Source organism: Homo sapiens, chromosome 18 (assembly GCF_000001405.40).
Source record: "Homo sapiens chromosome 18, GRCh38.p14 Primary Assembly".
NCBI lineage: Eukaryota > Metazoa > Chordata > Mammalia > Primates > Hominidae > Homo > Homo sapiens.
This window is the reverse complement of record NC_000018.10, coordinates 14567439-14583534: the sequence shown is the minus strand read 5'-3', so window position 1 is coordinate 14583534 and position 16096 is coordinate 14567439. Positions and strand designations below refer to the sequence as shown.

At 36.0% G+C, this 16096-nt stretch overlaps 1 long non-coding RNA gene and 1 pseudogene across 5 annotated transcripts in view; one reads left to right on the top strand and one right to left on the bottom strand.

Moving 5' to 3' along the window:
* The window catches only part of LOC105372004 (uncharacterized), an 87301-nt gene that overhangs the window by 58975 nt on the left and 12230 nt on the right, over window positions 1-16096 (top strand). For all 5 annotated transcript variants that reach the window (XR_935172.2, XR_935173.3, XR_935175.2 and 2 more), the window contains one exon: window positions 6351-6646. This is a non-coding gene — a long non-coding RNA (uncharacterized LOC105372004). The remainder of the gene's footprint in view (window positions 1-6350; window positions 6647-16096) is intronic.
* OR4K7P (olfactory receptor family 4 subfamily K member 7 pseudogene) lies at window positions 11819-12791 on the bottom strand (annotated as a pseudogene).

Genomic DNA, 16096 nt, shown 5'->3' with positions numbered 1-16096 from the left:
TAAACTTTCAGTAATAAATATTTGAGAATAAATAAATATATGATATTCATCAATAGTGGATGAAAATTGTCAAAATTAGTATCAAGTCAGAATACTTCACACCTGGAAAAACAAGTGCTGAGCAGTGCCTCCCTCATGAGGGATATCTAGATCTCTTCGGCAATCCTTCCTGCTCCCCTCCAGGTGTTCTATCATCTTAAGGTCTAGGCTTCCACCAACTGCCACATCAGTGAAAATGCAAGAATTGCAATGCAGAGGAACAGATTTCCATAAACCAATAAGGTCATTTCAGAGTATGGGAGGTAGAAAGACCCTGAGAAGTTGCTTCAAGACATAAGGCATTGAGGAAAGAAGGTAATAAGAGGGAAAAGAGAGATTTCGGTCTGGAAATTACTTAGGCTAATAGTCCACATAACTCCACATAAGCCAAGTCTCAGTATGTTGGTCAAAACAAGCAAATTCAAAGTTATACAGGAGGGGTGGAAAGAGACAAAAAGAACAAGGATAACTTTTTTTCTGTAGCTCCAATATAGTCTTCAAGTGCAGACTGTATGTTTAGCATCCTTTTATCCACTACAGGGAAAAATAAGATAAAACATCCTAAGCAAATCACCCGAGAAGTCTGTAAAAAGTTCTCACAGCAGAAACTGGATAAAAGTTAAGCAGCTGCTGATAGTCTGCCCCCACTTAATCAGTGCTTCCCCATTACCTCTACAATATGCCTAATGTCTTTATTATAGTAGCATCCAAGGCTCTGACCACCTCCTATCAGCACAGATTCTCTTTCCGCTACTACTAACTTAATATCGTGTGCTCCAGAAATAGTAAACCAAATGTAGGTCCTGAATTCATTGGGCATTTTATGCTCCTCTGCCTTTGTCCATGCTGTTCCCTTCCTGGCTTATTTTACTCCAACCTGTCATTCAGATCTCAAATTCAGCACTACATCTGATCTCCAAGCTTACTCTGACTTTGCCAGGGACATTTAGACTTGCCTTTTCCTAGGTTCCCATATCACTACATGCAAATTTACACCATGGCAATTATCTTTCCTCTTGTTAGAATATAATCTCTTCAAGGATAGGAAAGTTATGTTATCATTTCTGTTTCCTCAGTACATCTCACAGATTCTGATATGTAAAAAGGGCCAAAAAACATTTCTTGGATTATCTTTACTGAGAGTAGCCTAAAAGGCAGAAAATTCAACTTACGACAGTCATCTCCTCCCTACTAATTCTGAGATACTTCACCTAGAGAAAAATCCTATCCTCTTATAATTAGACATATCCTTGGAAGAGCTAGCATAGCTCTTCAGTGTATAATGAAATGCCAATGACTGAAAACAGATTTCTGCTAGAGTACAAACAGAAAACGAATCAGGATACAAGGAAGAGAGGTATAAAACAAGAAGAGGATAAAAGTATAACAGATTCTATGATCCTGCTTGACCTAAAGTCTCATATAGGAATAATTTGTAAAAACATTATATTCCTGGTGATTCAACAAATGCTAATGTTTGTTGAGAGTAAGGCATGAAAGGCTAGGAACAAGGGTGGATTACAGTAAAGTGAGAGTTAGAAATGCAAAAAAAGTTGTAGGCATGGTGGTAGAAAGGGCAGGTTCTGTTTTGCACGAGGCTGCTCTATTCATGTAGGCAGAACTGCTGGTGTAATATACATGAATGGAGTGGCCTGGTGCAAACAAAACAGAGAGACGAGGTCTCTGGTTATAATTCGATCTAAAAGCTGAGCTCCAACTTGGAATTCTGGCCAAATATTGCCGGGCTTATATTTGTTTGCTTCATTTTTCATGAAAATAAATAAATCTGTATTTATTTGTGAAATTTTCCACTATCTAATTTTGGTAATTAACTTGATTTCTTTATAAATCTTTGAGGGAACACGAAACACGTTGGGAATAGAGGACAGTTATGGCTTGCAGCCTGGTAACTTACAAACTCTGCTTACAAGATGATGAGAAAATTAGAATAGAGAAGCTAATTAACATTCCCCAAGCCACAAACCTGGAAAATGGTGAAAAGCTAGATTCAAATCAGGCAATCCAGTTTCAATTACGGTGCTCTTGATCCCCACTCCAGGGATTCTTAGCTCTGTGTGTGTGTTTGTGTGTGTGTGTGTGTGTGCATATACAAATACATCATATATCCCTTTGGAAGTTTGGTGAAGTCTGGACCCTTCTCAGAATAATATCTTGTACACATAAGGTAAAATATACAGGGAATTACAAATGGCCAATAAATATGTGGAAAAAATGCTCAACATCACTTATCATCAGGAAAGTGCAAATCAAAACCACAGTGATAGGCTGTCTCACCCCAGTTAGGATGGCTATTATCAAAAAGACAAAATAATAAATTCTGGTGAGGATGTGGAGAAAAGAGAACTCTTTTTTTTTTTTTTTTTGAGACGGCATCTTGCTCTGTCGCCTAGGCTGGAGTACAGTGGCGCCATCTCGGCTCACTGCAAGCTCTGCCTCCGGGGTTCACGCCACTCTCCTGCCTCAGCCTCCCCAGCAGCTGGGACTGCAAGCACCCGCCACCATGCCCGGCTAAGTTTTTGTATTTTTAGTAGAGACAGGGTTTCACCATGTTAGCCAGGATGGTCTCAATCTCCTGACCTCATGATCCGCCTGTCTCGGCCTCCCAAAGTGCTGGGATTACAGGCGTGAGCCAGAAAAAGATCTCTTATACACTATTGGTGGGAAAATAAACTGGCACAGCCACTATGAAGAACAATACAGAGTTTCCTTTAAAAACCAAACCAAAAGAAAACAAAAAAACTACAAATAGAACTACATATGATCCATCTATCCCACTACTGGGCATTTATCCAAAGGAAAGAAAATCAGTATATCAAAGAGACATTTGTAGCCTCATATTTATTGCAGCACTATTCACAATAACCAAGACATGAAATCAACCCGTGTCTGAGAGCAGATGAAGAGATTTTTTTAATGCAGTACAAATATACAATGGAATATTACTCAGCTATAAAAATAACAATCATGTTATTTGCAACAACATGTATGAGACTGGGGTACATTATGTTAAGTGAAATAAAGCAGGAACAAAAAGCTGTTCATCACATGTTCTCATTCTTATGTGGAAATTTTAAAAAGTTAATCTTGGCCAGGTGCGGTGGCTCACGCCTGTAATCCCAGCACTTTGGGAGGCCGAAGCAGGCGGATCCCCTGTCAGGAGTTTGAGACCAGCCTGGCCGACGTGGCGAAACTCTGTCTCTACTAAAAATACAAAAATTAGCCGGGCATGGTTGCGGGTGCCTGCGTTCCCAGCTATTCCGGGAGGCTGAGGCAGGAGAATCGCTTGAACCCCGGAGGCAGAGGTTGCAGTGAGCAGAGATCGTGCTATTGCACTCCAGCCTACGCAACAGGGCGAGATTCCGTCTCAAAAAAAACCAAAAAAAAAAAAAACAAAAAAAAAAACTTGATCTTACAGAAGGAAAAAGCAGAATAGAGATTACTAGAGGCTGAAAAATGTAGAGAAAAAAGGAGAAAAGAGACATTTGTTAAAGGACACAAAATCACAGCTAGATTAGAGACATAAGTTCTTATGTTTTATAGCACTGTAGGATGACTATAGCCAAAAATAATATTTTTTATATTTTCAAATAGCTAGAAGAAAAGATATCAACTATTCCCAACAAAAAATGATAAATATTTGAAATGATGGGTATGCTAACTACCCTGATCTGATCTCTACATATTATATGTATCACATCACTATGTACCACATAAATATGTAGAATTATTGTCAATTAAAAATAAATTAAACTTAAGAATATAAGAACACAAAGAAAATCAATTACACTAAACTGTAGTATTCAAATATTTTTTCAATGGTGATATAGTAATACAAGTGCTTTCTGAACACACTGAATAAGATCTAGTGAGAATCTAATAGCTAAACCAATTTTAAAATAGTAATGTTCCATAAACAAAACTAAAAACAAAAACCACATGATTATCTCAATAGATGTAGAAAAGGCTTTCAATAAAAGTCAGCATTCCTTCATGATAAAAACACTCCACAGACTAGACTTTGAAGGAACATACCTCAAAATATTGAGCCATATATGACAAACCCACAGCCAACATTATACTGAGTTGGCAAAAGCTGGAAGCATTCCACTTGAAAACTGGCACAAGACAAGGATGCCCTCTCTCACCACTCCTATTCAACATAATATTGGAAGTTCTGGCCAGGGCAATTAGGCAAGAGAAAGAAATACAGGGCATTCAGATAGGAAGAGAGGAAGTCAAACTATCCCTATTTGCAGATGACATGATCCTGTATCTGAAAAACCTCATAATCTCAGCCCAAAAGATTCTTAAGCTGATAAACGACTTTAGCAAAGTCTTGGGATACAAAATCAATGTTCAGAAATCACTAGTATTCCTATACATGAACAACAGTCAGGCTGAGAGCCAAATCAGGAATGAAATTCCATTCTCAATTGTCACAAAAAGAATAAAATACCTAGGAATAAAGCTAACTAGGGAGGTGAAATATTTTTACAAGGAGAACTACAAAACACTGCTCAAAGAAACCAGAGATGACACAAACAAATGGAAAAATACTCCATGCTCATGGATAGGAAGAATCAATATCGTTAAAAGGGCCATACTGCCCAACGCAATTTATAGATACAGTGCCATTTCCATCAAACTACCATTGACATTTTTCACAGAACTAGAGAAAACTATTTTAAAATTCATATAGAACCATAAAAGAGACTGAATAATCAAGGCAATCCTAAGCAAAACTAACAAAGATGAAGGCATCATGCTCCCTGAATTCAAACTATGTTACAGGGCTACAGTAACCAAAACAGTTTGGTACTGGCACAAAAATAGACACATAGACTAAGAAACAGAATAGAGAACCCAGAAATAAGACCACACACCTACCACTATCTGATATTTGACAAACCTGACAAAAACAAGCAATGGAAAATGAATTCTCCATTCAATAAATGGTGTTGGGATAACTGGCTAGCCATTGTCTTAGTAGCCTAGACAACTGCCTTGTCTAGGGAGATGGCAGCAGAGATGAAGAGACATAAATTAAGTCAATATATATTTTTAAAATAAGAGGACTATTTAGTGGATTGTATGGAGTAGTGGATGAGAAAAAAGGGGAATCAAAATTGTGAATTTATTAATAGCTAACTATTTATTTGAATGCATCCATTTTTCCTCTCATTCTACCTCCAATTTCTTCTCTTTGTACCTCTGATTCATCTTCCTTCTTTGGTGACAAGGCCTCTAAAGTGAGTCACCTAAACTGCAGTCTGAGGAGGAGTCAAGGGTACTGCAAATGTGAGAGCCATATTCAGATACTGGCACGTGGAACAAGTTGAAGAATGGCTAATCTGACGTGCTGTATTTATCCAGAAATTTTAAGTAGGCTCCATGAGTAAGGCTTTGAGGGCACAGTTCAGGGCTTAGCTGATTCCCCCCAGATGAGCTCTTCTACCAGAAATTCCCCGGTAGAGGTTATTTATTCTCCAGCTTTAGGGCTTTTATTAGATGAAATGTCTTACTTCATGCTTTAATTTTATGGTTCTATTTTTAACAATTTCCTGAACAGTACATTCTACTATGTCTCAAAATAAACAATTTGTTATATTTTTATAAGTCTGGACAAAGTCTGCCTTGTTTATTAACGTGTTTTTAAAAAATTCAATAGATAACTATTAAGTCATTTACTTCTCAGTTAATTTATAGAAGACAGCATTTCCATTACTATCTTTTGAATAGGTAAGAGATGAAGGACAAAATACTTCAGACTTTTAAACTATGTTTATTTTATTTAAAATCATTGCTGTGAAAAAAAAACAAAAAACAAAAAACAAGACATTGACCTATTGAACATAGTGTATTTATTATTTTTCCTTTTATGCAATCTTAGCATATTCTTCAATTCAAAATAAGAAACCCCAAAAGTATATAATACTTCTTTGGAAAAATATGCAAAGGCCAACACATACAAAAGACAATGCTAGCTACAGAAATGCATCAAAGACTAATAATAATTGACAAAAATCCAGTATTTTAACACTAATTAATACTAGGTAAATTGATACATCCTATTACAGTATGAAATTCTGCCATTTAATTTCAAGTAAGAACCCTTATTTCCATTCTAGTACCTGCTGTCTTATGCATGTTTAACACAACAGCAACAATAATATAAGTAGTTAGTATATATTAAAGCATTAATGAACACCAAGCATTGTTAAATATATTACATGTATTTTTGCTTAATTTTCACAACATTACTAATGGTTAAATATTATTACATTTTGTAGGTAAAAAAACTGAGGCTTAGAAACATTGAAAAAAACTTGCTCAACGTTGCAAAACAAGAAATTTGTGACACTGGAATTGACATCTACAAGGGACTGATGTAACTAATTGCTGGATACATGTCCCTCAAAGACACAGAAACAGATCTTGTATTCTAGTGGATCTCCGGCACCCAGTGAGGGCCTGAAACAGAGTACATGTCCAACAAATAATTATTGAAGTAAAGATTGACATTTCAGGAGCAGAGATTAATATTCAAAAACAAAGATGAGAATTTTGGCAGAAAAGTCAAAATGAGGTAAAAGTACATTTCCACCTTAACCTTTTTTTTTTATTTGCTTAGCTGACATAAGGAAGAGTTTATAATTTGTTTGTTTTTTTTAAATTTTATTATTATTATACTTTAAGTTTTAGGGTACATGTGCACAGTGTGCAGGTTTGTTACATATGTATACATGTGCCATACTGGTGTGCTGCACCCATTAACTCCTCATTTAGCATTAGGTATATCTCCTAATGCTATCCCTCCCCCCTCCCCCACCACAGTCCCCAGAGTGTGATGTTCCCCTTCCTGTGTCCATGTGTTCTCATCGTTCAGTTCCCACCTATGAGTGAGAATATGCGGTGTTTGGTTTTTTGTTCTTGTGATAGTTTACTGAGAATGATGGTTTCCAATTTCATCCATGTCCCTACAAAGGACATGAACTCATCATTTTTTATGGCTGCATAGTATTCCATGGTGTATATGTGCCACATTTTCTTAATCCAGTCTATCGTTGTTGGACATTTGGGTTGGTTCCAAGTCTTTGCTATTGTGAATAGTGCCGCAATAAACATATGTGTGCATGTGTCTTTATAGCAGCATGATTTATAGTCCTTTGGGTATATACCCAGTAATGGGATGGCTGGGTCAAATGCTATTTCTAGTTCTATATCCCTGAGGAATCGCCACACTGACTTCCACAATGGTTGAACTAGTTTACAGTCCCACCAACAGTGTAAAAGTGTTCCTATTTCTCCACATCCTCTCCAGCATCTGTTGTTTCCTGACTTTTTAATGATCACCATTCTAACTGGTGTGACCTGGTATCTCATTGTGGTTTTGATTTGCATTTCTCTGATGGCCAGTAATGGTGAGCATTTTTTCATGTGTTTTTTGGCTGCATAAATGTCTTCTTTTGAGAAGTGTCTGTTCATGTCCTTCGCCCACTTTTTGATGGGGTTGTTTGTTTTTTTCTTGTAAATTTGTTTGAGTTCATTGTAGATTCTGGATATTAGTCCTTTGTCAGATGCAAAAATTTTCTCCATTTTGTAGGTTGCCTGTTCACTCTGATGGTAGTTTCTTTTGCTGTGCAGAAGCTCTTTAGTTTAATTAGATCCCAGAAACCAACGAGAACAGAGACACAACATACCAGAATCTCTGGGACACATTCAAAGCAGTGTGTAGAGGGAAATTTATAGTACTAAATGCCCACAAGAGAAAGCAGGAAAGATCCAAAATTGACACCCTAACATCACAATTAAAAGAATTAGAAAAGCAAGAGCAAATACATTCAAAAGCTAGCAGAAGGCAAGAAATAACTAAAATCAGAGCAGAACTGAAGGAAATAGAGACACAAAAAGCCCTTCAAAAAATTAATGAATCCAGGAGCTGGTTTTTTGAAGGATCAACAAAATTGATAGACCACTAGCAAGACTAATAAGAAAAGAGAGAAGAATCAAATAGATGCAATACAAAATGATGAAGGGGATATCACCACCGATCCCACAGAAATACAAACTACCATCAGAGACTACTACAAACACCTCTACGCAAATAAACTAGAAAATCTAGAATAAATGGATAAATTCCTCAACACATACACCCCCCCAAGACTAAACCAGGAAGACGTTGAATCTCTGAATAGACCAATAACAGGCTCTGAAATTGTGGCAATAATCAATAGCTTACCAACCAAAAAGAGTCCAGGACCAGATGGATTCACAGCCGAATTCTACCAGAGGTACAAGGAGGAACTGGTACCATTCCTTCTCAAACTATTCCAATCAATAGAAAAAGAGGGAATCCTCCCTAACTCATTTTATGAGGCCAGCATCATCCTGATACCAAAGTCTGGCAGAGACACATCCAAAAAAGGGAATTTTAGATCAATATCCTTGATGAACATTGATGCAAAAATCCTCAATAAAATACTGGCAAAACGAATCCAGCAGCACATCAAACAGCTTATCCACCATGATCAAGTGGGCTTCATCCCTGGGATGCAAGGCTGGTTCAATATACACAAATCAATAAATATAATCCAGCATATAAACAGAACCAAAGACAAAAACCACATGATTATTTCAATAGATGCAGAAAAGGCCTTTGACAAAATTCAACAATGCTTCATGCTAAAAACTCTCAATAAATTAGGTATTGATGGGCTGTATCTCAAAATAATAAGAGCTATCTATGACAAACCCACAGCCAATATCATACTGAATGGGCAAAAACAGGAAGCATTCCCTTTGAAAACTGGCACAAGACAGGGATGCCCTCTCTTACCACTCCTATTCAACATAGTGTTGGAAATTCCGGCCTGCCCTGAATTAGGCAGGAGAAGGAAATAAAGGGTATTCAATTAGGAAAAGAGGAAGTCAAGTTGTCCCTGTTTGCAGATACATGATTGTATATCTAGAAAACCCCATTGTCTCAGAACAAAATCTCCTTAAGCTGATAAGCAACTTCAGTAAAGTCTCAGGATACAAAATCAATGTACAAAATTCACAAGCATTCTTATACACCAATAACAGACAAACAGCCAAATCATGAGTGAACTCCCATTCACAATCGCTTCAAAGAGAATAAAATATCTGGGAATCCAACTTACAAGGGACGTGAAGGACCTCTTCAAGGAGAACTACAAACCACTGCTCAAGGAAATAAAAGAGGATACAAACAAATGGAAGAACATTCCATGCTCATGGGTAGGAAGAATCAATATCGTGAAAATGGCCATACTGCCCAAGGTAATTTATAGATTCAATGCCATCCCCATCAAGCTACCAATGACTTTCTTCACAGAATTGGAAAAAACTACTTTAAAGTTCATATGGAACCAAAAAAGAGCCCGCATCGCCCAGTCAATCCTAAGCCAAAAGAACAAAGCTGGAGGCATCATGCTACCTGACTTCAAACTATACTACAAGGCTACAGTCACCAAAACAGCATGGTAGGGGTACCAAAACAGAGATATAGATCAATGGAACAGAACACAGCCCTCAGAAATAACGCCGCATATCTACAACTATCTGATCTTTGACAAACCTGAGAAAAATAAGCAATGAGGAAAGGATTCCCTATTTAATAAATGGTGCTGGGAAAACTGGCTAGCCATATGTAGAAAGCTGAAACTGGATCCCTTCCTTACACCTTATACAAAAATCAATTCAAGATGGATTAAAGACTTAAACGTTATACCTAAAACCATAAAAACCCTAGAAGAAAACCTAGGCATCACCATTCAGGACATAGGCATGGGCAAGGACTTTATGTCTATAATTTGTTAAAATGAACTAGTGTTTCAAATTTAAAATGTGGTTTTCTATCTAGCTCCAACACTACATTTCTTCATAAGCTTCTGCACATTATTTAATGTTAAATATTTGGATTGGAGGTTGTGTTGAAGCATGTTTTACAATTATCTTGGACTTTTAAGTGGCAAAACTATTAATGCCATTTCTTTCTTTGCAAGGCAAAGTCGTGTTTTTCTTATGCTACTCGCTGTTCAAATCTATGATGACTGATTGCTTCTGGAACTCTTTTTATGTACGTCAGTCATTTTAAGTAGACACATTTTTATCAGCATATCAAAATACCATGCAATCTAACCTAGTTTTGTCACCCCAACCATATTAGTAATGAAAAACTGGAAAACGTTCTATTCGTTTTTCTGTCATATGTCTTAACAAGCTGCAGTCTTAGAGACATGCTAAAACTAGAATATCGAATTTAACCTGCTAGTGACTTTTTTTGAAAGAAGTTATTCTTCAAAGGCATACTACTTTAATATAAGATGTATTTTGGGAAGAAGTTTTAGGGAAATAGAAACGACATTTTTAGAACCCATTCTGTATTACTTTCCATAAAGCAGTCATGACAAATATTTAATTTACCTTTTACAATATTTTTAGAGATGAAAAAGGGAAAGGTAAAGTGAATCCCCAGGGATAATACAACTAGGAAATGACAGAATCAAGATTTAATTCCAGGGTCCATGTTTGTCTACAGAAATGTCTTTGCCCCTTACAGTGATTCAGCCTTAAATCTGTCCTGTGAATTCTCTGGACCTTCAATACGTCAGCTGTTAGAAAATTGGACTGGCTGATTTCCAAAGACTCTCTTGTAATGAAAAATCTATTTAACATGATCAATAATATACCAAATTAGGGAGAATCATGCTATGTATTTCTTAAATTCTTTTTTTCCTTTCTTTCCATAGGTTATATTATGTTGAAAATTAGACACAAAGCTTCTTCTAAGACTAATAATATGCTGCAATATTTATTTTGGAAATGAAAAAATTATGATTAATTTAATAGCTAATATTTTTCCCAAACATTGAGTCTTGGTAGTAAATAAATTCATCATACTTATAATTTTCAGCCCGATTTTGAAAGCCAGTCACATTTGAATAGTTTACTGTCTATGATTTAAACTTTAGAAATTATTATTTGATTATTTACTATATTAATTATGAAGTGTGATAGTGGTATAAACACCTATTAAGAAACTGTATTGTTAAATTTCTGAATCTTTGAACTGTTCTCTTATTTTCAGAGTTGACACAGAACTCAAACAACTGAACCCCTTAAATCAAGATTGTTGAACATTAACTAAAAGAATCTCTTCACAGTATAAATTTTCCCATAAAACTATTTCCAGTGTTATACTTGTTTTGTCCTGCACTGCTAATTATACTTCTAAATTAATCTAAACACCATCAGAGTACCACAAGGCTGTACAGAATGGGAGTATTCTGGATTAGAAAACAAGAGATTCATATTTTATCTCAGGTTTCTTTAATTAGTCTTAATCCGAGGTATGTTTGTAGGATCCAGAGGTCTATGAAGTCCTGAATTTATGTTCACAATTTTGATGATATGTTCATTTTTCTATGAAAATCACCTTTACATTTCACCAGATTATCAAATAGACCCATAACTCAAAAGGTTTGTAAACACTGCGCTAACTTTTCGTCAAGATGTCGCACATTTCTTATCCCTGACTTCTTTTCATAAATTTAAACTAAATTATTTGAAAGGTAAATTCTAAGTTTAATTTTTTGATTGCTCTAAGAACATAACTGTTGATATTATATCTCACAAAGGAGATCGCTATTCATTGCATGAAGTATCACGGAGCAGTTTTCCCAAGACTGAAATACTGAATATTCAGTTTCTTCTTCATTGCTGTCTTCACTTCCTGGTTTCTCAAAGTATAGATAAGTGGATTCAGAAAGGGAGTGAAGATGGTATAGAAAACGGAGAGAATTTTGTCTACCAGGAAGTTTGTGGAAGGCCACACATAAATGAAAATACAGGGCCCAAAGAACATTAACACAACAATAAAATGCGCTGTACAGGTAGAAAGAGCCTTGGAGGATCCTGTGGAGGAGTAGTCCCTGACAATATTAAGAACAATGATGTAGGAGGTGAGCAAAAGCAGAAAACTTATAAGAGCAATCACACCACTGGTTGAAATCATGGAGGTCCCAAGAACATAAATATCTATACAAGCTAACTGGATGACCAAAGGAAGATCACAGAAAAAACTGTCTACAACATTGGGAACACAGAAGGGCAAATAGAGGGAAAAACTAATTGGCTCATTGTATGTAGAAAGCCCACTGTCCAACAAGAAACTGCCACAAGCTCAACACACACTCTTTGGCTCATAATTGTTGAATAGTGGAGAGGTTTACATATGGCAATATACCTGTCAAAAGACATGGAGATCAACAGCACAATCTCAGTCCCATTGAAGAGGTGTAAAAAAAAGATCTGAGAAATGCAGCCTTCAAAAGAGATGGTCTTACGCAGAGCAAAAAAGTCCATAATCATCTTTGGTGTGGCAAAGGAGGACAGGCACATGTCAATGAGACATGTTGCTGAGCAGGAAGTACATGCGAGAGTGAAGGTGTGAGGTGGATAGGACAGTGAGCAAAATCAGGCAGTTGCCCAACATGGTCATTAAATAGAAGACAGAAAACACCACAGAAAAGAATATCTGGAGTTCAGGAGAATCAGTAAGTCCAAGTAACATGAATTCAGATACTCTGGAATAGTTGAACCCCTCCATTCATCTGCAGACTCAGCTTTATAATTGTAAAAGGAACAAAATTACAGAGTTTGAAAGTGTGATATTTCTACAACCACATATTAACTTATCATTCGCTTAAAGATTGATTACTAGAATCCAACTAAAAATTCTCAGGGTAAACATTTTTGGGGGGAATCACTTAACATTTGCTACCAGATATAATCTGAAAAGTTTAACCTCTTGGTTTTGACTAGCATTAGTACACGTTGAGCTGTAGTCATCACATGCCCATACAATTATACACCTATCTGAATACTACTTAACGAGTTATGTAATACACATTTATTGAGGCAGATTACATTACATTTGTGTGCTCTACTGAATAAGGCATGTAAATAAAACTAAAAATAAAATAAGTGTTGAACTCTCAAAGGTTTCTCTTACACACAAAAATGTGAATATTTTGAGTCAACTATTGTTAAACACTAGACTTAACTAAGACTTTAATGATTTCAGAAGATCCATTTAATATCTTATGAGGGTGATAAATTATTTAATTTTTAATTTCTTAATTCCATAAGACAACTGATAACCAAAAGGCATTCTTGTAACCTACAAGAGTTATTCTCCACTTTTGGTAATTTATTATTTCATAGAAACATGTTTTAAAAAGAGAATCTCCCTCATTTAATTCTCTTCATTCTACCCAAAGCTATATTTTAAACTAGAAAAAACAAACAAAAAAGATACATTAAGAACTCAGAATTATTTTTCAAAATTAATTTTTTCATTTACAGTGCTTCCCAAGTTCTAGAAATTTTATTTCCTACGGAATATCAATGTCTTTACCAAACAGTCAAAAGTGTGGTACAAAACAAGTGAAACTTAGTCCTAGTAAATGAAAGCTAATTTTGTGACCAGGTAGTGTTTACTTTGCCAGCCACCTAATGAAATTTAAGCCTTTGACTACAGAAATTTTAGCTGCGTAACTGGAAATTTGTCCAGGTTACTGGAAAATTTGATGAGACCAAAATTAATTAAGTAAAAAAATATAGTGTTAGATCAGGCATTTATAAATCTATATGCATCTAAATCTTTTTTTTAGTTAAATTGCTTTTTCCACATGTAAAACTACATGAATTCCCTTGTTATATTACACATTTGAATATTTCACTTTATATATTTGAATATTTATCTAGTTTTGATAATAATTTAATTATAATAGATAATGCAATTTTATCTAATCCTGTATTCTAACTTATCCGTCTTTGAAAATGCAATATTTCATTCCTTCTTCAATAAAAGTTTTCAAGGTACACTAAAAAAGATTTCATTATGTCAGTGAAACATGGTGGACGAATGTCAAAAATTTTAAAATATCAGTATACTAATATTTAAGTTATAGTCAATATTAATATGCTAAGAAAAGAATAAAATCATTGTTACAAACTCAAAGAATGAACAAATGGAAAGAGAGTCAAAAATGGGCCAGGCACAGTGGCTCATGCCTGTAATCTAACATTGTGGGAGGCTGAGGCAGGCGGATGGCTTGAGCGCAGGAGTTTAAGACCAGCCTGGCCACCATGGCAAAACCCTGTCTCTACTAAAAATACAAAAATTTGCCAAGCGTAGTGGCACACACCTGTAATCCCACACCCGCTTCTCGGGTGGCTAAGGCAGGGGAATCCTTTGAACCTGGGAGGTGGAGACAGAGGCTGCAGTGAGCCGAGAACATGCCACTGCACTCCAGCTTGAGCACTAAGTGAGTACCTGTCTCAAAAAAAAAAAAAAAGAACTATTTTACTTTTATTTTCTTCATTCTCTTCCATTAATTTATTCCCAATGATCCTTCCAAAAATTCTTGAAAATAAATAAAAAAGAAAATCTTGCATTATGAATGCCTGAGACTTCTGACTATTGAAATTTTAGATTGTAGATCAATACACATATAGATTTAACTGTCTGACAGTGCCAATGTATCAATTCAGTGAAAAAATAAGTTTTATGATTATGTGCCCCCTTTTTTCTGAATTAACTGATTGGCTGATTAAATTTGCAGATTAGCTGATTGCTTTTAGTTAAAAGTAGTGGCATGGTTTCTAGTCTAAAGAAAAAGTCTTATCTGATTTGCAGTAAAAACTAAAACAAATGTTCCAAAACAATTTTGGCTTCTTTTTTGGATAACTATCACAAATTTTACATTGACTACACATTCTGACTTTAGAATAGAAGGATTATAGCAATTGTTCTGTTGCAGCAACTTTCAGAGTCCAGTTAGAAGTGGAAAAATAAAAATGGGAAAAAATCTGATTCATTTTTAAAATTTTTAATTTGTTTTTAATTGTTGCTGTGCAGAAGCAAATGTACTGGAAATGAATTGTACTCAGTTAATTATAATTTACCTTATTATTCCGTCCTTAACTCATTCTGTGATTGAACACTAAATATCAAAATTGTAAATATTACTTTCACGGCCGGGTGGAATGGCTCATGCCTGTAATCCCAGCACTTTGGGAGGCCGAGATGGGTGGATCACTTGAGGCTAGGAGTTCAAGACCAGCCTGGTCAACAATGGTGAAACCCCGTCTCTACTAAAAATACAAAAATTAGCCATGTGTGGTGGTGGACACCTGTAATCCCGGCACCTGTAATCCCAGCTACTTGGGAGGCTGAGGCAGGAGAATTGCTTGAATCCAGGAGACGGAGATTGCAGTGAGCAGAGATCACACCACTCACTCCAACCTGGGAGACAGAGCAAGACTCCATCTCAAAAATAAAAATACAAATAAATGTTACCCTCAGCAATATTTTTCCTTTAGATGACCTCATGTTTTCCCATGTGGAGGAAAATCTGGTTACATCTCCATTTATTTGCACATATTTAAATTGTTTTGTCAATATTGAAAAATTATTTTGGCCGGGTGCAGTGGCTCACACCTATAATCCCAGCACTTTGAGAGGCCGAGGTGGGTGGATCATGAGGTCAGGAGTTCAAGACCATCCTGGCCAACATAGTGAAATCCCATCTCTACTGAAAATAAAAAAATTTGCTGGGCGTGGTGGCGCATGCCTGTATTCCCAGCTACTTGGGAGGCTGAGGCAGGAGAGTTGTTTGAACCTGGGAGGCAGAAGTTGCAGTGAGCTGAGATGGTGCCATTGCACTCCAGCCTGGATGACAGAGCTAGACTCCATCTCAAAAAAAAAAAAAATTATTTTTAAATTTTGTCATGGAATGATATTTGAGAATTCTTAAAAGGAGTATATTGCCCAGTAGTTAAGAGTAGTTACGGTATTCTTGACTTCACTTATGTCTCAGTAGCCTAAGATTTGACCTCTACTTGTGAGAATTATATTAGATGGTCTATGTAAAGCTTGAAGCATATTTTCTGGGCAAAATTTAAGAAATTTTCTAGGTTTCAAAATCCAAATTTAACAATGCTGTTC